At 46.3% G+C, this 24,568-nt stretch overlaps 1 long non-coding RNA gene across 2 annotated transcripts, besides 1 other annotated feature; it reads left to right on the top strand.

Annotated features, from left to right (window-relative positions):
• Nucleotides 7,718-7,887: an enhancer, noted in NCBI's record as "experimental_17874 CRE fragment used in MPRA reporter constructs". NCBI's record gives its function as "activates a minimal promoter by MPRAs in K562 erythroleukemia cells, with activity observed for the non-introgressed 10:88332736 variant allele {active_cell/tissue: K562}" and the evidence as "EXISTENCE:reporter gene assay evidence [ECO:0000049][PMID:34662402]".
• LOC105378406 (uncharacterized) lies at nucleotides 14,379-24,453 on the top strand. Of its 2 annotated transcripts, none has more exons than XR_946160.1 (3): nucleotides 14,379-14,623; nucleotides 23,530-23,635; nucleotides 24,069-24,453. It is a non-coding gene; the product is annotated as an uncharacterized LOC105378406 (long non-coding RNA). The 2 variants fall into 2 exon arrangements; XR_946159.1 differs by having other exon boundaries at nucleotides 24,064-24,453.
• The last annotated feature ends 115 nt before the right edge of the window (nucleotides 24,454-24,568 follow it).

Genomic DNA, 24,568 nt, shown 5'->3' with positions numbered 1-24,568 from the left:
TCTCTTCAGGTGCAATAGCACTGAAGCAGTGTTTCACACTGGCTTCCAGGGCTCCATAGGGGAACAGAGCTCCAGCTGCCCACAGTGGTAACTTGCTTCATGACAAACTCTTCGTTGACTTCCTTCCCTGTCTCATTTCCCCTTTCCCTTACTGAGGTATCAAGGGATCCCTTCTAAAATCACTTGGTTTCACTTAAATCCTTGTCTCAGAGTCAGCTCCTGGGGCTACTCAAACTAAGACACTGTTCTTTGTTAGCAAGTAGGAAATGGGAATCAGCCAGGATGAAAGAGCCAGAAGGGCCATGACCACACCCCAGCTGGCCCCTTCATGCCAGGTTAGGGCTTTGGAACAGCCTAGAAAGAGGAAACTACCAAGCTTCCTTCACAGTTCCAGTTCTCCACAACAGGACTTGGCAAACTTTTTTTGTAAAGGGCCAGATACTAAATATTTTAGGCTTCGCAGGCCTTTTGATCTCTATTACAATTGCCCAGCTCTGCCACTGTGGCATGAAAGCAGTCATAAATTATATGTAAAAGAATGGATGTGACTGTGTTCCAATAATACTTTATTTGCAAAAAGGCAGCAGGCCAGATTTGGCCCACAGGCTGTTGTTTACTGACCCCTGCTCCAAGACAACAAAAAGAGACTGGGCAAGCATCTGCCCAGCATGGGTGCTGGCGGGGAGGCAATGCCAGTTGTGGCCTTAGACTCTGTGGGTTCAGGAGCAGGGCTCTCTGCCTAAGGGTCCCGTGGCTGTGCAACCAGTTCGGGAAATACTCCTACATCTCAGTTGACAGTGGAGCACTCAATGAATAGCTCAGCTTTTAAGCTCAAAACAAGCTTTCGACTTCACTTTTATGCTAATAGGTCATGTTTTTCTAATGGATAGATACAGCTCCACCAGAAAAAAATAATTAAGCCCCCAAAAAGAAAAAGTAAGTTAATATTTTGAAAGACATATAAAATGGTGAATTCAACCGATATTTCAAATAAGATGAGGGATATAAAACTTGATTACCAATAACTTATGGAGCAAAAAATGAAGTCTTCTGGTGGAAACTGAAGGCATAATATTGATAGATGACTGTGAGAAAGCTATTGAAGTACAGGACCAAGTTCACCAAGAGGGAATAGACCCAGAGATGGGTGAAGACTTCAGTAAGACAACTGTTCTAAATTATGCAGGAGCTGGGCATGGTGGCTCATGCCTGTAATTCAAGCTACTCAGGAGGCTGAGGAGGGAGGATTGCTTAAGGCCAGGAGTTTGAGACCAGCTTGGGCAACAGAGGGAGACCCTGTCTTTAAAAATAAATAAATAAATGACATAGGTCTCCTTACCTGATTATTTATGCCTAGTGTTCCATTATAAACAAGCATGTGGGACTTGTTTATATCTTACTTCTTAAGGTCATCGCCACGGTCTCATTGCAAAAATTCAAAAAATTGCAACCTCAGGCATAAATGGGCTAATTACATGGCAGAAAACTTGCAACTAATCCAACAAGACTGTAGCAAATACCCAATCCAAGCCCACTCTAGCCACCCTCTCCCACCGAAGGGGGGAGAAAAAAACTGAGAAGGTCGCGCACACTGGCTCACCCCTATAATCCTAGCACTTTGGGAGGCCAAGGTGGGAGGATTGCTTGAGCCCAGGAGTTCAAGACCAGCCTGAGCAACATAGTGAGACCCTGTCTCTATAAAAAATTTAAAAATTGGCCAGGCGCGGTAGCTCACGCCTGTAATCCCAGCACTTTGGGAGGCTGAGATGGGCTGATCATGAGGTCAGGAGATCGAGACCATCCTGGCCAACATGGTGAACCCCCTGTCTCTACTAAAATGCAAAAAATTAGCCTGAAGTCCCTGGGGAAGCTGAGGCAGGGGAATCGCTTGAACCCGGGAGCAGAGGTTGCAGTGAGCCGAGAGCGTGCCACTGCACTCCAGCCTGGTGACAAGTGAGACTCTGTCTCAAAAATAAATAAAAATTAAAAAATTAGCCAGGCATGGTGGCACACACCTGTAGTCCCTGCTACTCAGAGGCTGAGGCAAGAGGACTGCTTCAGCCCAGGAAGTCGAGGCTGCAGTGAGATGTGTTTGTGCCACTGCACTCCAGCTTGGGTGACAGAGCAAGAACTAGTCTAAAAAAAAAAAAAGAGAGAGAGAGAGAGAAACATCTGAAGTTCCCAGTCCAGAAAAACCAGCTCACTAAAAGACTGAGATGGAAACATAGGACTATAGAATACTTCCCCTCCTTATAAACCTTACCACCACAGGACTAAAGGCCCATTTACAGAAGCTCCTTTCACCTAGTGCATTATGTCTGGCTATTAAGAAAAAAATTACAGGCTGGGCGTGGTGGCTTACGCCTGTAATGCCAGCACTTTGGGAGGCTGAGGAGAGTGGATCACTTGAGGTCAGGAGTTTGAGACCAGCCTGGCCAACATGGCGAAACCTCGTCTCTACTAAAAATACAAAATTAGCCGGGCATCAGGGCGGGCACCTGTAATCCCAGCTACTCAGGAGGCTGAAGCACAAGAATCGCTTGAACTCAGGAGGCGGAGTTTGCAGTAAGCCGAGATTGCACCATTGCACTCCAGCCTGGGCAACAAGAGCGAAACATCATCACAAAAAAAAAAAAAAAAAAAAAAAAAGAGAAAAGAAAAGAAAAAAGAAATGCTTACTTAGATATAACACCGAAAGCATAAGCAAGCAAAGAGAAAAGGAGAAATTGGCCATCATCAAAATTTAAAACTTTTGGAACTTAAAAAACACCATCAAAAATGTGAAAAGTCAAGGGGGCATGGTGGCTCATGCCTATAATTCCAGCAATTTGGGAGGCCGAGGCAGGTGGATCACTTGAGGTCAGGAGTTTGAGACCAGCCTGGCCGATAAAGTGAAACCCCGTCTGTACCAAAAATACAAAAATTAGCTGGGTGTGATGGCACATGCCTATAATCCCACTACTCGAGAAGCTGAGGCACGAGAATCAGTTGAACTGGGAAGGCGGAGGTTGCAGTGAGCCAAGATTGTGCCACTGCACTTCAGCCTGGGCGACAGAACAAGACTCTGACTCAAACAAACAAACAAACAAACAAAGGTGAAAAATCAATCCATAAAATGGGAGAAAATAGTTGCAAATTATATATGTCTGATAAAGACTATTTCCAGAATATATAAAGAATTCTTACAACCTAACAATAAAAAAAAAATGGTTGGGCACAGTGGTTCACTCCTGTAATCCCAGCTCTTTGGGAGGCCAAGGCAGGAGGATCTCTTGACTCAAGGAGTTCAAGACCGGCATGGGCAACATAGTGTGACCCTATCTCTCTCTCTCTCAAAAAAAAAACCCCAAAACCAAAAAACAACAACAAAAAAACAAACAACAACAAAAAAAACACCACCAACAACAAAAGAACCTCTAGAAATTAAGAAGTCAAAGACCACTAGTTTTATAGAAAAATGCAGGGCGGGCACAGTAGCTCACACCTGTCATCCCAGCACTTTGGGAGGCTGAGGCAGGCGGATCACTTGAGGTCAGGAGTTCGAGACCAGCCCAGCCAACATTGCAAAACCCCATCTCTACTAAAAATACAAAAATTAGCTGGGCATAGTGACCTGTAGTCCCAGCTACTCAGGAGGCTGAGGCAGGAGAATCGCTTGGACCCAGGCAGCAGAGGTTGCAATGAGCCAAGATCATTCCACTGCACTCCAGTGGGCAACGGAGGGAGACACCATCTCAAAAAAAAAAAAAGTTTGCATTTCTCTTGTTATGAGTGAAGCTAAACATTTTTTCACAGGTTTAAGGGTAATTTGCGTTGCTTTTTCTAAAAACTATGTGCATGCTTTTTCTTTTTTTTTTTTCTTTTTCTTTTTTTTTTTTGTTGAGGTGGAGTCTTGCTCCATCGCCCAGGCTGGAATGCAATGGAGTGATCTTGGCTCACTGCAACCTCTGCTGCCTGGGTTCAAGCGATTTTCATGCCTCAGCTTCCTGAGTAGCTGGGGCTACAGTCACGTGGCACTGTGCCAGGCCAATTTTTGTATTTTTAGTAGAGACCAGTTTCATCACGTTGGCCAGCCTGGTCTCGAACTCCTGACCTGAAGTGATCTGCCCGCCTTGGCCTCCCAAAGTGCTGGGATTACAGGCATCAGCCGATAAATGCAAATCTAACCCACACTGAAATTAAGTTTCTCACCTATCAGATTGGCAAAAATTCAAAAGGCTGACAGCACACTTTGAGATTGTGGGAAAACAGGCCTCATACATAGCTGGTCTGGGTGCAAACTGGCACCTCCCCCATAGAAGGAAATTTGGCACTATCCACCAAAATGACAATGTACACAGACTTTAACCTTGCAGTCCCACTTCTAAAAATGCATCTGACAGATATTCCTGCATATGGACAAAATAATGTGTATTTACTGTAAGACTGGGTTTTTAAAAAATTTATTTACTTATTATAAGATTATTTACTGTATTACTATATTTACTACAATTTACTATAAGATAAAGTTTACTTATTGCTAAATTGTTTTTAATAGCAAAATACTGGAAACTTCCTAAACGTCCATCTGTTCTGTTTGGTTGAATAAACCATAGTTCATCTATATAGTAGATGAAAGTTTTTTGTGTTTTTTTTCTTTTTTTTTTTTGAGAAGGAGTCCCACTCTATCACCTAGGCTGGAGTGCAGTGGTGCAATCTGGGCTCACTGCAACCTCTGCCTCCCAGGTTCAGGTGATTCTCCTGCCTCAGCCTCCTGAATAGCTGGGATTACAGGCGCATGCCACCAGGCCAGGCTAATTTTTGTATTTTTAGTAGAGATGGGGTTTCACCATGTTGGTCAGGCTGGTCTCAAACTCCTGACCTCAGGTGATCTGCCTACCTCGGCCTCCCAAAGTGCTGGGATTACAGGTGTGAGCCACCACATCCGGCCCAGATGAAAGTACTTTTAAAGTAAAAAAGTAATAAAAGTTTTTTATATATCGATATAAAAATTTATTGGCTGAGCAGAGTGGTTCATGCCTGTAATCCCAGCACTTTGGGAGGCCAAGGCGGGCGGATCACTTGAGCCTAGGAGTTCAAGACCAGCCTGGGCAACATAGTGAGACCCTGCCTTTACAAAAACTACAAAAATCAGCTGGGCATGGTGGTGCACTCCCTGTAGTCCCAGCTACTTGAGAGGCTGAGGTGGGAGGATCATGCAAGCCTGGGAGGCAGTGATTGCAGTGAACCAAGATCATGCCACTGCACTCCACCCTGGCAATAGAGTGAAACCCTTATCCCCCCCAAAAATTTTTTTCTCAAGAAAATGTTGTTAAATGTAAAGGCAGGATGCAGAACAGTAAAAATAACATGCTACCTGTTTTTGTAAGAAAGACAGGGAAATAAGAATACATACTTACTTATATTTTCTTTTATTTGCATAAACAAACACTGGAGAAAACCAGGCCTGTAATCCCAGCACTTTGGGAGGCCAAGGTGGGTGGACTTTGCTTGAGTCTAGGACTTCGAGACCAGCCTGGGCAACATGGCAAAACCCAGTCTCTATAAAAACAAAACAAAACAAAACAAAACAAAACAAAACAAACAAAAATTGGAAAGATTCACAATAAAGTAGTTCTCTACCAAAGGCCAGTAGGGAGGTAATGGGCTGGATGGTGACTTGGGTGCAAGCAAGACTTCTAAGAATGAAAATTTTTATATTGAACCAGGTGAGTATATTGCCTATACAAAAATGTAAATTTAAAATACCAGCTGGGCACAATGGCTCATGCCTGTTCTCTCAGTGATGTGGGAAGTTGAGGCAGGAGAATGACTTGAGCCTGAGAGGCTGAGGCTGCAGTGAGCTATGATCATGCCACTGCATTCCAGCCTGGGCAACAGGGCGAGAGCTTGTCTCTAAAAATAAAAATAACAACCTGAAAAAAATCAATAATAATATCAAATATAGTGAGAATGCCATAAAATTATTACACACACACAAATACACACACATGTGCACACCCTGCCTCCATCCAAGCAAGTGTCTTTCATTGTCAGCATCAGAAATCATTCTTCAGTTGATTTTTTTCTTTAAATCTTCAGGAACTCTGCTGTGCACTACAAGGAAATGTAATGTCTGGGCAGTGATTAGTACAGTAACTCAGGAGGCTGGAGAAAATATCAGTGAAGATGGGTGAAATGGAGTATTGACTTTTAAGGCTGCCTTTTGTTGGGAGACAAGACCTTAATCTTCAACTATAGAAGCCGTAAGACCAGACACTTGCTTTTCCAGCTTTTTTGCACATAGAAAATGGGCATCTATAATACAGCCTTGACCAATCAACTGCATCCTGCCCAGATCTGAACTGGGATCTTGTATTGCAAAGAATCCTTTCTAGGATGATCAACCACAGCAAGGGCACCATCCACGTTGTAGGGCAGTGGAGATGTCCTGGAACAAATGTTAGGGAGTCCAGGGCTGACAGTGGGTCCAGCAGTGATGTCCCGGGTCCCCTGTTGACACCAAGTAGTTGCAGCACTGGCCCTATTTCCTATCACTGGTCTCATTTTATGGCATAATTTTTGCTGTACTCTGGCTGCATAGCTTCCCCTGGACCTATTTCCCAGGCCTGAGTTTCCAGTTTTTTTCGTATTCATTCTATACATTCCATTTCTTAAACCTGTTGGAGTTGGTTCCGGATGCTTTGCTTGCAACTAATAACCCTGGTTGATGCATCTGGATTGTGTCAGGGATTCTCCATCTGGAAATTCAAGCAAACAAAGGAACCCACAAACTATATGGAATCTCCAGACTGATACCACTGGTGGAAAAGAAAGAGAGAAGAGGATACAGGGCCAGGCGTGGTGGCTCACACCTGTAATCCCAGCACTTTGGGAGATCGAGGTGGTCAGATCACTTGAGGTCAGAAGTTCAAGTCCAGCCTGGCCAACATGGTGAAATCCCGTTTCTACAAAAACTACATAACTTAGCCGGGCGTGGTGGCACGCACCTGTAATCCCAGCTCCTTGGGAGGCTGAGGCAGGAGAATCACGTGAACCTGGGAGATGGAGGTTGCAGTGAGCCAAGATCGTGCCAATGCACTCCAGCCTGGGTGACAGAGACAGACTCCGTCTCAAAAAAAAAAAAAAAAAGAGAGAGAGAGAAAAGAGGATACAGCAGTTCCTTCAATCTTACAATAGACTGCTGCTGCTGCTGGTGTGTGTGTGTGTGTGTGTGTGTGTGTGTGTGTGTGAGAGAGAGAGAGAGAGAGAGAGAGAGAGAGACAAGGCGCAGTAGGGGTGGGAGTCAGACACGAGAACACCAGAGGCTTTTCTAAGAAGAGGCTGCTAGACCTGGGTCCTGGCTCAGGCTGCTATCTGAAGCTTGCTGGGAAGCTTTGACAGGTACAAGCCAGTGATGGTTTCAGCCAGTTGGTGACTGCAGGTTGAAATGTAAAGGTGGAAAAAGGATGGAGAATGTGTGAAAGTGATCTTTTTTTCACACAGTTACAATTTGAGATTTTTTTTGGTAACAATCATGAATTCCTATATTGCTTTCGAAATTTGAAAGAAATTCAAAAGACAGGAAAAAGGACTTCAGGGATGAAGGTGTGTGTGATTGCTCTTCTCGTGTGTATGACAAAAGACTGCTGCTGTCTGAGCGCGGTGGCTTACAACTGTAATCCCAAGCACTTTGGGAGACCAAGGTGGGTGGATCACCAGACCAACCTGGCCAACACAGAGAAACCCCATCTCCACCAAAAATACAAAAATTAGCCAGGCGTGGTGATGTGTGCCTGTAATCCCAGCTACTTGGGAGGCCGAGGCAGAAGAATCACTTGAACCCAGAAGACAAATGCTGCAGTGAGCGGAGATTGTGCCATTGCACTCCAGCCTGGGCAACAGAGCAAGACTCCGTCTCAAACAAAACAACAACAAAAAAAGTGAATTAAATATGTGTAGCTAATTTCACTCTTCCCAAATCCCCAAGAAAACTACAAAGAAAGGATTGATATCTTTTTTATTGTGATTAAATATACATAATATGAATTTTATTAATATCATTTAACCATTTTTTTTTTGAGATGGAGTCTTGCTCTGTCGCCCAGGCTGGAGTGCAGTGGTAAGATCTCAGATCACTGCAACCTCTGCCTCCTGGGTTCAAGCGATTCTTCTGCCTCAGCCTCCCGAGTAGTTGGGACTACAGGCCCATGCCATCACACCCGGCTAATTTTTTTTTTATTATACTTTAAGTTTTAGGGTACATGTTCACAACGTGCAGGTTTGTTACATATGTATACACGTGCCATGTTGGTGTGCTGCACCCATTAACTCGTCATTTAGCATTGGGTATATCTCCTAATGCACCAGGCTAATTTTTATTGGAGATTTTTAGTGGAGATGGGGTTTCTCCATGTTGGCCAGGCTGGTCTCGAACTCCTGACCTCAGGTGATCCGCTTGCCTCAGCCTCCCACAGTGCTGGGATTACAGGTGTGAGCCACCATGTCTGGCCTTCATTTTAACCATTTTTAAGTGTACAGTTAAGTGGCATTAAGTACATTCACGATGTTGTTCAACCATCACCACTATCCATTTTCAGAATTTTTTCCTTATTCCAAAAACCCCTCACCCATTAAACAGTAACCCCACATTCCTTCCCTCTAACCCCTGGTAACCTCTATATGCTTGCTTTTTTTTTTTTTTTTTTTTTGAGATGGAGTTTCGCTCTTGTTGCCCAGGCTGGAGCTCAATGGCGCGATCTCGGCTCACTGCAACCTCCGGCTCCTGGGTTGAAGCGATTCTCCTGCCTCAGTCTCCCGAGTAGCTGGGATTACAGGCACCCGCCACGACTCCCAGCTAATTTTTGTATATTTAGTAGAGACGGGGTTTCACTGTGTTGACCAGGCTGGTCTTGAACTTCTGACCTCAGGTGATCCGCCCTCCTCGGCCTCCCAGAGTGCTGGGATTACAGGAGTGAACCACTGCGCCCGGCCTGCTTTCAATTATTTTGAGTTTCTACCCAGAAGTGACTTGCTGAATAATATGGTAATGCTATATTTAACTTTTTAAGAAACTCTCAGCTGGATGCAGTGGCTCATGCCTATAATTCTAGCACTTTGGGAGGCCGAGGCAGGCGGATCACCTTAGGTCGGGAGTTTGAGACCACCCTGACCAACATGGAGAAACCCTGTCTCTACTAAAAATACAAAATTAGCCAGGCGTGGTGGCACATGCCTATAATCCCAGCTACTTGGGAGGCTGAGGCAGGAGAATTGCTTGAACCCGGGAGGCGGAGGTTGCGGTGAGCTGAGATTGTGTCATTACACTCCAGCCTGGGCAACAAGAGCAAAACTTTATCTAAAAAAGAAAACTCATACTATTTTCCATAGCAGCTCATCTTTTTATATCCCCACCTGCTGTGAACCCTGAAAATCTGAGACAGGTCTCAGTTAATTTAGAAAGTTTATTTTGCCAAGGTTGAGGACGTGTGCCCATGACACACCTTCAGGAGATCCTGACGACATGTTCCCAAGGTGGTCAGAGCACAGTTTGGTTTTATACATTCTAGGGAGTCATGAGGCATCAATCAGTATAGGCGAGATGAACATTGGTTCGGTCTGGAAAGGCGGGACAACTGGAAGTAAAGGTGGGACAACTGGAAGTAAAGGTGGGACAACTGGAATCAAAAGTGGGAAAACCAAAGCCAAAGCCAGGAAGCGTGGTTCCAGGTTATAGGTAGATAAGAGACAAATGGGCCGGGCGTGGTGGCTCAAGCCTGTAATCCCAGTACTTTGGGAGGCCTAGGCAGGTGGATCACCTGAGGTCAGGAGCTCGCGACCAGCCTGGCCAACATGGTGAAACCCCGTCTCTACTCCAAATACAAAAAATTAGCCAGGCATGGTGGCGGGCACCTGTAATTCCAGCTACTTGGGAGGCTAAGGCAGGAGAATTGCTTGAACCCAAGAGATGGAGGTTGCAGTGAGCTGAGATCACACCATTGTACTCCAGCCTGGCAACAAGAGCAAAACTCTGTCCCCCCTCCCCCCAAAAAAGAGAGACAAATGGTTGCATTCTTTTGAGTATCTGATTAGTCTCAAGTAGACAGTCAGATATGCATTTATCTCAGTGAGCAGAGGGATGACTTTGAATAGAATGGGAGGCAGGTAGGCCCTAAGCAGTTTCCAGTTTGACTTTTCCCTTTAGCTTAGAGATTTAGGGGCCCCAGGATTTATTTTCCTTTCACACTGCAATGTATGAGAGTTCTAATTTCTCTATTATCTTCACCAACACTTTGTAAAAATAATAACTGTCCTAATGGGGATGAAGAGGTGCAGTGGTTAATGCCTGGAATCTCAGCACTTTGGGAGGCAGAGGTGGGTGGATCACCTGAGGTCAGGAGTTTGAGACCAGCCTGGCCAACATGGTGAAACCTTGTCTCTACTAAAAATACAAAAAATTAGATGGGTGTGGTGGCGGGTGCCTGTAATCCCAGTTACTTGGGAGGCTGAGGCAGGAGAATTGCTTGAACCTGGGAGGTGGAGGTTGCAGTGAGCCAAGGTCACGCCATTGCACTCCAGCCTGGGCAACAAGAGCGAGACTCTTGTCTCAAAAAAAAAAAAAAAAGAAAGAAAGAAAAAGAGGAGGTATCTTATTGTGGTATCATTTTAATGCATGAACCTCACAAAGCATGAGATGCACACCTAAGCCCATCTGACCCTGAGCTTTCCACTCCACATCCTGGCCCTTCCGAGGCCCAAGCACTTTTTTTTTTAAACAAAGCAAAATGTTTCCCCAGCATTGCAGGACTTAGCTTAGATACACAGTCTTTAGTATTGATGACATGTATCTCATTTTCAGGATTTGCCTAATTGCATCCTCTCCTTCCAGAAATGCAAAGTACTCCTGAATCATCTTTCAGCTCAGACCATGGTGTGGAAGAAATCCTTCGCTAGAAGGAGCCTGTGTGACCTGGTCCAGCAGCATTTCCCCCAGACTTGACATCACAGGCCCTTCAGCCATGGAAGTGGTAGGGGGAGAGTGAAACCACCACTGCAAAATTATAACTGAGACAGTGAAAGAGATCTGAACTAACCAACTCCATCTTGCTTCTAACCTCCAATCTGTCCCCCTTCTTTCCTGGGGGTATGCTGAACTAATTCTGGGGAGGAACTTAGTTTATAGTTTAGAGCAAAGATGATTAACAGCCTTTTCCCAAAACAAACTCCCTTCTTGCCTGGGGACTTGCCCTGCCATTGTCATGCAGCTGGAGGCTACTTGACTCTCCAAATTGCTCCTGGGAATAACATCACTATTGTGAAGCCTAAGATCAGTGCTTGAGATATTTTGCAGACCCTGCACTTGATGGATCAGCTGGCACCACCCAGATCTATAAAGTGGCTCATCTAAGGTCCCCACCCAGGAACAGCTTCAACTCCCTATTATTTCATCTCCAACCCAACCAATCAGCACTCCTGACTCACTGGCTGCCCTCCCCTCACCCACCAAATTGTCCTTAAAAACTCTGATCCTCCAATGCTCAGGGAGGCTGATTTGAGTAATAATAAAACTCCAGTCTCCTGCACAGCCCGCTCTGTGTGAATTACTTTTTCTCTATTGCAACTCCCCTGTCTTGATAAATTGGCTCTGTCTAGGCAGTGGGCAAAGTGAACCCATTGGGTGGTTACAAGAGTATCCTCTGTCTGAAGTGACCCAAGCTCCTTAAATGAGACATGCACAGCTGACAAGACAAATCCCAGAACAGAGCAGGCTGGTCAGTGCCAGGATTCCCCAAAGGGAAAGAGAAGGTAGTTGTCTTTGCTTCAATCCTGGCCCACACATCCATATTCTTAGAGGCCTCTGGAGGGATTTCTTTTTGAGCCATGTGGGAAACTTCAGGATTTAAGGGCCTCTGCCAGGTCAGCTCTACCCAAGCACTACACTGGGTGCAGGGTCTTCTCAGGAGCCAGCTCTCAGCACAGGACAGTTGAGGCCAAGGCCAAGCAGAAGTTGAAGGACAGGGCAATCCCTAAATGCAGCTCCCTGAGAGTTCCTGCTCACTCTGACACCAACAGGCACACGCATGACCAGACAAGCACTGCAGCCTGAAGACTAAACTCTGATTTTTTTTTTTATCTTGCCCAGATTCCTTTTTTTTTTTTTTTTTTTGAGACGGAGTCTTTCTCTGTCACCCAGGCTGGAGTGCAGTGGCGTGATCTCGGCTCACTGCAAGCTCCGCCTCCCGGGTTCACGCCATTCTCCTGCCTCAGCCTCCCGAGGAGCTGGGACTACAGGCGCCCGCCACCATGCCCGGCTAATTTTTTGTATTTTTAGTAGAGGCGGGGTTTCACTGTGTTAGCCAGGATGGTCTCGATCTCTTGACCTCATGATCCGCCCGCCTCTGCCTCCCAAAGTGCTGGGATTACAGGCGTGAGCCACCACGCCCGGCTGCCCAGATTCCTATCTAAGGGGCCTGGGGAGTCATGCCCTACAAATCATAAATTTTCATCAGATGGGTTTTATTTAACCCTATATATCATGATTTATTTTCTTTTTTCTTTTTTCTTTTTTTTTGAGACGGAGCCTTGCTCTGTCACCCAGGCTGGAGTGCAGTAGCACGATCTTGGCTCACTGCAGCCTCGACCTCCCAGGTTCAAGTGATTCTCCTGCGTCAGCCTCCCAAGCAGCTGGGATTACAGGCGCCCACCACCACTCCTGTCTAATTTTTGTATTTTTTTGTAGAGACAGGGTTTTACCACGTTGGCCAGGCTGGTCATGAACTTCTGAGCTCAGGTGATCCACCCACCTCGGCCTCCCAGAGTGCTGGGATTACAGGCCTGAAGCACCACACCGGGCCATGATTTACTTTCCAACCTGACTCTGGCATAATATTACAAGAAAAAGAAGAAAATCAAAATATTTTACCCCAAAACATGTTTACTTGCCATATTTTGAAATGGCCCTGCAAAGCCGTTATTTGTAGGGGAAAATTGCCTCTGTAAAGAATCTCTATTAACATAGCTAGACGTTCTTCTTCCAGACCCTCCTAATTCTAAAGACATTAACTGAGATCTGAATAGGAAACATTTGTCATCTATTGTCTCTAAGGGCAGTCACTATAAGACTTAAAAGAACTTTGGTCTCCACAACCTTTTACCTTAACCTGAACATTCCCTTTCCATCAATCCCAGAGGTCTTCAGACAAACTCAACCAATTGTCAACCAGAAAATGTTTAAATTCGGCCGGGCGTGGTGGCTCATGCCTGTAATTTCAGCACTTTGGGAGGTCAAGGTGGGTGGATCACTGGAGATCGGGAGTTCATGACCAGCCTAGCCAACATGGCGAAATCTAAAAATACAAAAATTAGCTGGGCATGGTAATCCCAGCTACTCGGGAAGCTGAGGTGGGAGAATCGCTTGAACCTGGAAAGCAGAGGTTGCAGTAAGCCCAGATCACGCCACTGCATTCCAGCCTGGGCAACAAAGTGAGACTCCGTCTCAAAAAAAAGAAAGAAAATGTTTAAATTCACCTATAGTTTGGAAACCCCCGCTTTGAGTTGTCCCACCTTTCTGGACCAAACCAATGTATTTCTTAAGTGTATTTGATTGATGGCTCATGCCTCTCTAAAATGTGTAAAAGCAAGCTGTGCTTTGACCACCTGGGGCACATGTTCCTAGGACCTCCTGAGGACTGTGTCACGGGCCATGGTTACTCATATTTGGCTCAGAATAAATCTCTTCAAATATTTTACAGTTTGATGCTTTTTGTCGACAATCCCTTCTCAGGGGTTCGTGGGGCCAGGCCCTGAGGAGATGCATGGCTTACTTCTGATGCTTTTTCCTGTCCAAGGACCTCCCCCAGAGATCCTGCAGACTTCCACTTTGGTCAGGACCCAGGAATGAGTCCTGCTCTTGTTTGAGGTTCAGAGGTGCTCAAGGCTCATACCCAGGTGCCTGGATCCCAGCCTCATCAGGTCACTAACTAGGGCCAGAAAACCCATGACAGAGAGAAATGCAGTTCATCCTTCTTCCACAAGGTTGAAAACAAAATACTCAGAAATCCCCAGGCCTGGACTCTCTCACAGGAAAATATCACCTCTGTGCAACAAGTCTAAAGTTCAGAAACCTGAATCCAAGGAAACTGTATGTCAGGCCTCTGAGCTCAAGCTAAGCCATCATATCCCCTGTGACCTGCACGTGTACATCCAGATGGCCTGAAGCAACTGAAGATCCACAAAAGAAGTGAAAATAGCCTTAACTGACGACATTCCACCATTGTGATTTGTTCTTGCCCAACCCCAACTGATATGATATATTCTCCCCGCCCTGCCCTTAAGAAGGTACTTTGTACACATATCCCAAACCTGTAAGAACTAATGATAATTCCACCACCCTTTGCTGACTCTCTTTTCGGACTCAGCCCGCCTGCACCCAGGTGAAATAAACAGCCTTGTTGCTCACACAAAGCCTGTTTGGTGGCCTCTTCACACAGACATGTGTGACATTTGGTGCCAAAGACCCAGGACAGGAGGACTCCTTCGGGAGAACGGTCCCCTGTCCTCGCCCTTACTCTGTGAGGAGATCCACCTATGACCTCGGGTCCTCAGACCAACCAGCCCAAGGAACATCTCACCAATTTCAAATCAGGTAAGCTGTCTTTTCACTCTTCTCCAGCCTCTCGCTACCCTTCAATCTTCCTCTCTCACTACCCTTCAATCTCCCTGTCATTCCAATTCCAGTTCTTTTTCCTCTCTAGTAGAGACAAAGGAGACACATTTTGTCCGCGGACCTACAACTCCGGCGCCAGTCACGGACTTGGGAAAACAGTCTTCCCTTGGTGTTTAATCACTGCGGGGATGCCGGATTATTCACCCACATTTCACTGGTGTCTGATCACTGCAGGGACGCCTGCCTTGGTCATTCACCCACATTCCCTTGGTGGCAAGTCAATTGCAGAGACTCCTGCTTTGGCTGCTCACCCACATTGCAGCCCAGGGCTACTCACCCACCCCCTTCGTGTCTCTACCTTTCTCTTTAAACTTACCTCCTTCACTATGGGCAAACTTCCGCCCTCCATTCCCCCATCTTCTCCCTTAGCCTCTGTTCTCAACAACTTAAACCCTCTTCAACTCGCACCTGACCTAAAACTTAAACGCCTTATTTTCTTCTGCAATACCACTTGGCCCCAATACAAACTCAACAGTAGTTCCAAGTGGCCAGAGAATGGCACTTTGGATTTGTCTGTCCTACAAGATCTAGATAATTTTTGTCGAAAAATGGGCAAATGGTCTGAGGTGCCTGACGTCCAGGCATTCTTTCACACATTGGTCCTTCCCTAGTCTCTGCTCCCAATGAGACTCGTCCCAAATCTTTCTTCTTTCTCTCCTGTCTGTTCCTTCAGTCTCCACCCCAAGCTCTGAGTCCTTTGAATCCTTCTTTTCTACAGACTCATCTGACCTTTCCCCTTCTCCCCAGGCTGCTCCTTGCCAGGCTGAGCCAGGTCCCAATTCTTCCTCAGCCTCTGCTCCCCAACCCTAGAATCTTTCTATCACCTCCCCTCCTCACACCCGGTCTGGCTTACAGTTTCGTTCCTCGACTAGCCCTTCCCCACCTACCCAACAATTTCCTCTTAAAGAGGTGGCTGGAGCTAAAGGCATAATCAAGGTTAATGCTCCTTTTTTCTTTATCTGACCTGTCCCAAATCAGTTAGCATTTAGGCTCTTTTCCATCAGATATAAAAACCCAGCCCAGTTCATGGCCCATTTGGCAACAACCACCCTTAGACATTTTATTGTCCTAGACCCCAGAAGAAGGCTGTCTTATTCTCAATATGCATTTTATTACCCAATCCGCTCCTGACATTAGAAAAAGCTCCAAAAATTAGATTCCGGCCCTCAAACCCCACAACAGGACCTAATTAACCTCGCTTTCAAGGTGTACAATAATAGAATAGAGGCAGCCAAGTAGCAACGTATTTCAGAGTTGCAATTCCTTGCCTCCACTGTGAGAGAAACCCCAGCCACATCTCCAGCACACAAGAACTTCAAAACGTCTGAACTGCAGTGGCCAGGCGTTCCTCCAGGACCATCTCCCCCAGGATATTGCTTCAAGTGCTAGAAATCTGGCCACTGGGCCAAGGAATGCCTGCAGCCTGGGATTGCTCCTAAGCCATGTCCCATCTGTGCGGGACCCCACTGGAAATTGGACTGTCGAACTCACCTGGCAGCCACTCCCAGAGCCCCTGGAACTCCGGCCCAAGGCTCTCTGACTGACTCCTTCCCAGATCTTCTCAGCTTAGCGGCTGAAGACTGACGCTGCCCGATCACCTCAGAAGCCTCCTGGACCATCACGGATGCTTTGGGTAACTCTTATAGTGGAGGGTAAGTCCATCCCCTTCTTAATCAATACGGAGGCTACCCACTCCACATTACCTTCTTTTCAAGGGCCTGTTTCCCTTGCCTCCATAACTGTTGTGGGTATTGATGGCCAGGCTTCTAAACCTCTTAAAACTCCCCAACTCTGGTGCCAATTTGGACAACATTCTTTTATGCACTTCTTTTTATTTATCCCCACCTGCCCAGCTCCCTTATTATGTCGAGACATTTTAACTAAATTATCTGCTTCTCTGACTATTCCTGGGCTACAGCCACACCTCATTGCCGCCTTTTCCCCCAGTTCAAAGCCTCCTTCACATCCTCTCCTTGTATCTCCCCACCTTAATCCACAAGTATAGGACACCTCTACTCCTTCCTTGGTGACGGATGATGTACCCCTTACCACCCCATTAAAACCTAATCACCCTCACCCCGCTCAATGCCAATATCCCATCCCACAGCATGCTTTAAAAGGATTAAAGCCTGTTATCACTTGCCTGTTACAGCATGGCCTTGTAAAGCCTACAAACTCTCCTTAAAATTCCCCCATTTTACCTGTCCAAAAACCAGACAGGTCTTACAAGTTAGTTCAGGATCTGTGCCTTATCAGCCAAATTATCTTGCCTATCCACCCTGTGGTGCCAAACCCATATACTCTCCTATCCTCAATACCTCCCTCCACAACCCATTCTGTTCTAGACAAACCTAGCTGACCCCATAAATCCTAAATCCTTTCCCCACTCCCCTTTCCATTCCCTAAAAAACAGCCCTAAAATCTGCTCCCACGCTAGCTCTCCCTAACTCATCCCAACCCTTTTCATTACACACAGCCAAAGTACAGGGCTCTGCGGTCAGAATTCTTATACAAGAGCGGGGACCACGCCCTGCAGCCTTTCTGTCCAAACAACTTGACCTTACTGTTTTAGCATAGCCCTCATGTCTGCAGGCGGTGGCTGCCACTGCTTTAATACTTTTAGAGGCCCTCAAAATCACAAGCTTTGCTCCACTTACTCTCTACAGTTCCCATAACTTTCAAAATCTATTTTCCTCCTCACACTTGACGCATATACTTTCTGCCCCCCAGCTCCTTCAGCTATACTCAGTCTTTGTTGAGTCTCCCACAATTACCATTGTTCCTGGCCCAGACTTTAATCCGGCCTCCCACATTATTCCAGATACCACACCTGACTCTCATAACTGTGTCTCTCTGATCCACCTGACATTCACTCCATTTCCCCATATTTCTTTCTTTCCTGTTCCTTACCCTGATCACACTTGGTTTATTGATGGCAGTTCCACCAGGACTAATCGCCGCTCACCAGCAAAGGCAGGCTATGCTATAGTATCTTCCACATCTATCATCAAGGCTACCGCTCTGCCCGCCTCCACTACCTCTCCGCAAGCCGAACTCATTGCCTTAACTTGGGCCCTCTCCTTGTATCTCGCAGTATTATAGTGACTCTAAATATGCCTCCCATATCCTGCACCACCATGCTGTTATATGGACAGAAAGAAATTTCCTCACTATGCAAGGGTCCTCCATCATTAATGCCTCTTTAATAAAAACTCTTCTCAAAGCTGCTTTACTTCCAAAGGAAGCTGGAGTCATTCACTGCAGGGGCCATCAAAAGGCATCAGATCCTATCGCTCAGGGCAGCACTTATGCTGATAAGTTAGCTAAAGAAGCAGCTAGCATTTCAACTTCTGTCCCTCATGGCCAGTTTTTCTCCTTCTCATTGATCACTCCTATTTACTCTCCTACTGAAGTTTCCACCTATCAATCTCTTCCCACACAAGGCAAATGGTTCTTGGACTAAGGAAAATATCTCCTTCCAGCCTCACAGGCCCATTCTATTCTGTCATCATTTCATAACCTCTTCCATGTAGGTTACAAGCTGTTAGCCCACCTCTTAAAACCTCTCATTTCCTTTCCATCGTGAATATCTATCCCCAATCCTCCACTCTTGACTCCCTCTTGGAGTGGATAGATGATCTTTGCTGACAGGACACACTCCAACACTTTCACCCAGATGAAGTCTTATTCTTTACTTTTATACTCACTCTTATTCTCATTCCCATTCTTATGCCACCCTCTACCTCTCCCCAGCTATCTCCACCACACTATCAATCTCACTCACTCTCTCCTAGCCATTTCTAATCCTTCTTTAAGAAACAATTGCTGGCTTTGCATTTCTCTTTCCTCCAAAATCGCCTAGGCCTCAATTTACTCATTGCTGAAAAAGGAGGACTCTGTATATTTTTAATGAAGAGTGTTGTTTTTACCTAAATCAATCTGGCCTGGTATATGACAACATAAAAAAACACAAGGATAGAGCCCAAAAACTAACCAACCAAGCAAATAATTATGCTGAGCCCCCTTAGATGTCCTGGGTCCTCCCAATTCTTAGTCCTTTAATACCGGTTTTTCTCCTTCTCTTATTCGGACTTCGTGTCTTCCTTTTAGTTTCTCAATTCATACAAAACCGCATCCAGGCCATCACCAATCATTCTATATGACAAATCCTCCTTCTAACAACCCCACAATACCACCCCTTACTCCAAAATCTTTCTTCAGTTTAATCTCTCCCACTGTAGGTTCCCACACCGCCCCTAATCCCACTCGAAGCAGCCCTGAGAAACATCGCCCATTATTTCTCCATACCACCCCCAAAAATTTTCACTGCCCCAACACTTCACCACTATTTTGTTTTGTTTTTCTTATTAATATATGAAGACAGGAATGTCAGGCCTCTGAGCCCACACTAAGCCATCATATCCCCTGTGGCCTGCAAGTATACATCCAGATGGCCTGAAGCAACTGAAGATCCACAAAAGAAGTGAAAATAGCCTTAACTGATGACATTCCACCATTGTGATTTGTTCCTGCCCCATCCTAACTGATATGATATATTCTCCCCACCCTTAAGAAGGTACTTTGTAATATTCTCCCCCACCCTTAAGGTACTTTGTAATATTCTCCCCACCACCGGCCCCTCCACCCCGCCCCCCCACCCCCCACCCTGAAGAAGATACTTTGTATGCCTATCCGGAACCTATCAGAACTAATGATAATCCCACCACCCTTTGCTGACTCTCTTTTTGGACTCAGCCCGCCTGCACCCAGGTGAAATAAACAGCCTTGTTGCTCACACAAAGCCTGTTTGGTGGTCTCTTCACATGGACGTGCATGACACTGTAGTTCAGGGCTGGGTTGCTGGGCAAAGGGGACTGAAACTCCAATTTTGCTTTTCTTTCTTTTTTTTTGTTTTTTGAGACAGGGTCTTCCTCTGTCGCCCAGGCTGGAGTGCAATGGTATGTGGTGTGATCAAAGCGCACTGCAACCTCTGCCTCCCAGGCTCGAGATCCTCTCACCTCAGCTTCCCAAGTATCAGGGACTACAGGTGCACCACTGTGCCCGGCCATGCATTTTTTGTAGAAGCAGGGTTTTGCCATGTTGCCTAGGCTGGTCTCCATGTCCTGGGCTCAAGTGATCCTCCAACCTCGGCCTGTCAAAGTGCTGGGATTACAGGCATGAGCCACTGCACGTAGCCAATTTTGCTTTTCAATTAGTCCTGGGATTTCAGGGTAGGGTGTTGTGATTAAAAAACTTTTAGGTGTTTGGGCTCTGGGTTCTGTAAAGTCAAATAATATTTTTGTTTGGGGTCCCCTTTGCTCTAATTTGGGCTTTTCCATTCAGTGTTGTCTGAGCCACTGCTGGAGTGCAGCAGTGGCTGTGCTGAGAGGAGGAATCACGCTGCAGTGGGGAGCTGGGGAGGGTGGGGGTGGGAGAGGCCAACCCTTAGAGCAGAGGCCAGATCCCTGACCATCTCACACCCTGAATCCCACTGCAGCCATTCTGGGAAAATAAGCCTCAAGAAGGACTAACTTTGTTGTATAAAAATGTCCTCCTGGGCACAGTGGCTCACGCCTGTAATCCCAGCACTTTGGGAGGCCGAGGCAGGCGGATCACCTGAGGCCAGGAGTTCGAGACCAGCCTGGTCCAACATAGTGAAACCCCATTTCTACTAAAAATACAAAAATTAGCCGGGCGTGGTGGTAGGTGCCTGTAATCCCAGCTACTTGGGAGGCTGAGGCAGGAGAATTGCTTGAACCTGGGAGTTGGAGGTTGCAGTGAGCTGAGATTGCGCCACTGCACTCCAGCCTGGGTGACAGAGTGACAGTCTGTCTCAAAAAAAAACAAAATGTCCATGGTAGGGCACAGTAGCTCAGGTTTATAATCCCAGCACTATGGGAGGCTGAGGTGGGCCCAGGGTCCCCATGCTGTGTGTAGCCTAGGAACTTGGTGCCCTATGTTCCAGCTGCTCCAGCCACCCAGCCATGGCTGAAAGGGGCTAATGTAGAGCTTGGGCCATGGCTTCAGAGGGTGCAAGCTCTAAGCCTTGGCAGCTTCCACATGGTACTGAGCCTGCCAGTGCATAGAAGTCAAGAACTGAGTTTGGGAACCTCCACCTAGATTTCAGAAGATGTATAGAAACACCTGGATGCCCAGGCAGAAGTTTGCTGCAGGGGCAGGGCTTTCGTGGACAGCCTCTGCTAGGACAGTGCAGAAGGGAAATGTGGGGTTCAAGACTGCACACAGAGTCCCTACTGGGGCACCACCTAGTGGAGCTGTGAGAAGAGGGCCACTGTCCTCCACACTCCAGAATGGTAGAGCAACCGACAGCTTGCACCATGTGCCTGGAAAATCTGCAGACACTCAATGCCAGCCCATGAAAGCAGCTGGGAGGGAGGCTATACCTCCAAAGCCACAGAGGTGGAGCTTCCAAAGACCATGGGAATCCCCCTCTTGCATCAGTATAACCTGGATGTGAGACATGGAGTCAAAGGAGATCATTTTGGAGCTGGATTTCAGACTTCCATGGGGTCTGTAGCCCCTTTGTTTTGACCAATTTCTCTCATTTGGAACAGCTGTATTTACCTAACGCCTGTACCCCCATTGTATCCAGGAAGCAACTAACTTGCTTTTGATTTTACAGGCTCACAGGTGGAAGGGACTTGCCTTGTCTCAGATAAGACGTTGGACTGTGGACTTTTGAGTTAATGCTGAAATGAGTTAAGACTTTGGGGGACTGTTGGGAAGCCATGATTGGTTTTGAAATGTGAGGACATGAGATTTGAGAGGGGCCAGCGGCTGAATAATATCGTTTGGCTGTGTCCCTACCCAAATCTCATTTTGAATTCCCATATGTTCAAATTCATACAGAACCCAGACTACAGTCCATATGTGGTGGGAGGGACCAGGTGGGAGGTAATTAATTGAATCATGGGAGCAGGTCTTTTCTATGCTGTTCTTATGATAGTGAATAAGTCTCATGAGATCTGCTAGTTTTAAAAATGGGAGTTTCCCTGCACAAGCTCTCTCTTTGCCTGCTGCCATCTGTGTAAGATGTAACTTGGTCCTCCTTGCCTTCCACCATGATTGTGAGGCCTCCTCAGCCATGTGGAACTGTAAATCCTTTAAACCTCTTTTTCTTCCCAGTCTCAGATATGTCTTTATCAGCAGCATGAAAACTGACTAATACAGATGGCTTGGGGCCAGGAGTTCCAGGCTGCAGTGAGCTATGGTTGCGCCACTGCTCTCCTGCCTGGGTAACAGAGGGAGACCCCAACTCAAAAAATAAATATATATAAATTTTTTTAAAAGTCCATGAGAACTTTTATTTTTCAGCCACTATGCCCGGCTGAAAACTTTTTTTATAAAAGAAAAAAAAATCGGTGGTGGGGGAGAGCAGAATAAATGTACAGTGAGGGAATAACTGATAAATTATAGTATATCTTCTCAATGGATATTACTCAGTGATTAAAGATTCATAATTATGAAGTCTTTGTGGTGTCTTTGTTGAAAAACACAAGTGGAGTAAGTAGTCTATAACTATATAATAATATGAAGTTACAAGAGCAAAGAACAGAAAGCACACTTGCAAAAAAGGAGCTGTTGATGGTGTGGGATTACAAGAGATTTTCTTTTTTAAAAACACCATTTATGTCCTTATATTGTATTTCCAATAAGAAAAGGGAAGGACAGAAGTGAAGCAGACACTTCCTTGAGGTTAGCTGATAGGTGACAACTAAATGTCAGTTCCCATTTTTGTCAGGCAGCATGGCTCACTGCGGTTTTGAAATTTATTCTGAATCCTCTGCTGGCACTTTTTACATGGTTACATCCTCAGATGGGTTCCAAGAAAAGGGTGATTAGGAACGTGGCATCCAGGCCAGGTGTGGTGGCTCACACCTGTAATCCCAGCACTTTGGGAGGCCAAGGCTGGTGGATCACTTGCGGTCAGGAGTTCGAGACCAGGAGGCTGAGGCAGGAGAATCTCTTGAACCCGGTTTCAGTGAGCTGAGATCGCACCACTGTACTCCAGCCTGGGCAACACGGGGAGAGTCCGTCTCAAAAAAAAAAAAAAAAGAAAGAAAGAAAGAAAAAAAGAAAAGAAACGTGGCATCCAAATTCCAGGAGGCCTAGACAAACCTGTCCAATTTGCCTGGAAACCATTACTTGGGTTTGTAACAGTTGATTTCATGGGAATATCTAGAATTCCCATATTTTCCCATGTATTTACCATTGGATGCTGCTCTACGCTGTGGTGTGCCTCCCAAACAGCATACGTTTGCCTTTCCTCCTTCCTGGGGGCAAATTATAAATGTTAACCAAAGTGTTTTGTGTTAAGACACACTTGTGTGCATTTTTTTTTTTTTTCTGAGACAGAGTCTTGCTCTGTTGCCCAGGCTGGAGTGCAATGGCATGATATCTGCTCATTGCAACCTCTGCCTCCCGGGCTCAAACAATTCTCTTGCCTCAGCCTCCCAAGTAGCTGAGATTACAGGCGCACACCACCACGCCCAGCTAATTTTTGTATTTTTGGTAGAGATGGGGTTTCCCCTTGTTGGCCACGCTAGTCTCGGACTCGACCTCAGGTAATCTGCCTGCCTTAGCCTCCCAAAGTGCTAGGATTACAGGCGTGAGCCACCGCTCCCGGCTGACTTGTGTGCATTATTATGCAAAGTAAAGCCCAGCACCTTTTCTACACCGTTACTTGCTCTCTTTATTAAGTAAACATTTGAGCAGGGAGTTGGAGTGTCTTCTCTGGGCCAGGCTGGTTTTATACCTTTTTTCATGTAATCTCTGTGTTGGGTATCTTCTGTCTGCCCCTCCAGATTGGCTCTCCACTCAACCCCTAGAAGCTGAGCCTTTGAGACAGCATCAGCAAGCTCCTTCCTCCTCTGGCTTCCCCTGGCACCAGCAGGAGGTGACAGGCCGCAGGTGAGTGCACGCTCCCTGGTTCCCTCTGCAGAGCCTCCACTGACTGGCTGTGGGCAGCACTGAAGGTCCCATTTCCATACAGGTGTGCCCTGCACACAGTCTCTCTGTCTCCGGGTTCTGAAAACCACTCCCCTCGCTGGCCCCTTTATGCCCAGGGGAGGCAACGGCCCTATTGTTCCTAGTCCCAGAGTACTGCACTATCCCTCATGGTTATTCTACACCTTACCCTCACCTTTGTAAATAGTGTTTTTATTAAACTGTCCTCAAATTACCCAATCGAGGGTGTCATCTGTTTTCTGCAGAACCCTGACTGATAGAATCCTTAAAGAGATAGGGAGTAACTCATCCAAGTTTGAGTGTTAGTAGGTGGCATAACCAGGCTTGGAAACAGGTCTGTCTGCATTCAAAGCTTGTGCTTCTTTTGCCAGATCAGATTGCACTGCCCAAGAAGGAGCCGGCTTGAAGAGCAAGCAAGTTGGGCACCTGAGATGAGATCCAGCACTAGGCGTAGAAAATGAACTCTGCTTGTGCCCCATGCCCTAGACCATGGCATGGCCAGGGTCTGTCCCCATGTCTGTGTTTCCTAAAGTTGGTGTGCACCCTCCTCATTATTCAGCTGTCATTGCATTTGCCTGGGAAGACTTCACTTGCAGAGCCCAGAGCAGCCAGCTTAATAGCTCCTGTGGTGGTTTTTAAAATATGTCCACATGTCCTTGGAGATGCTTTACATCAATTAGTGGAGTCTAAGGCCAGGCGCTGTGGCTCACATCTGAAATCCCAGCACTTTGGGAGGCTGAGGTGGGCGGATCACCTGAGGTTAGGAGTTCGAGACCAACCTGGCCAACATGGTAAAACCCTGTCTCTACTAAAAATACAAAAATTAGCCAGGTGTGGTGGTGGGTGCCTGTAATCCCAGCTACTCGGGTGGCCAAG

Source organism: Homo sapiens, chromosome 10 (assembly GCF_000001405.40).
Source record: "Homo sapiens chromosome 10, GRCh38.p14 Primary Assembly".
Lineage (NCBI taxonomy): Eukaryota > Metazoa > Chordata > Mammalia > Primates > Hominidae > Homo > Homo sapiens.
This window is presented reverse-complemented; position numbering and strand designations above follow the sequence as displayed.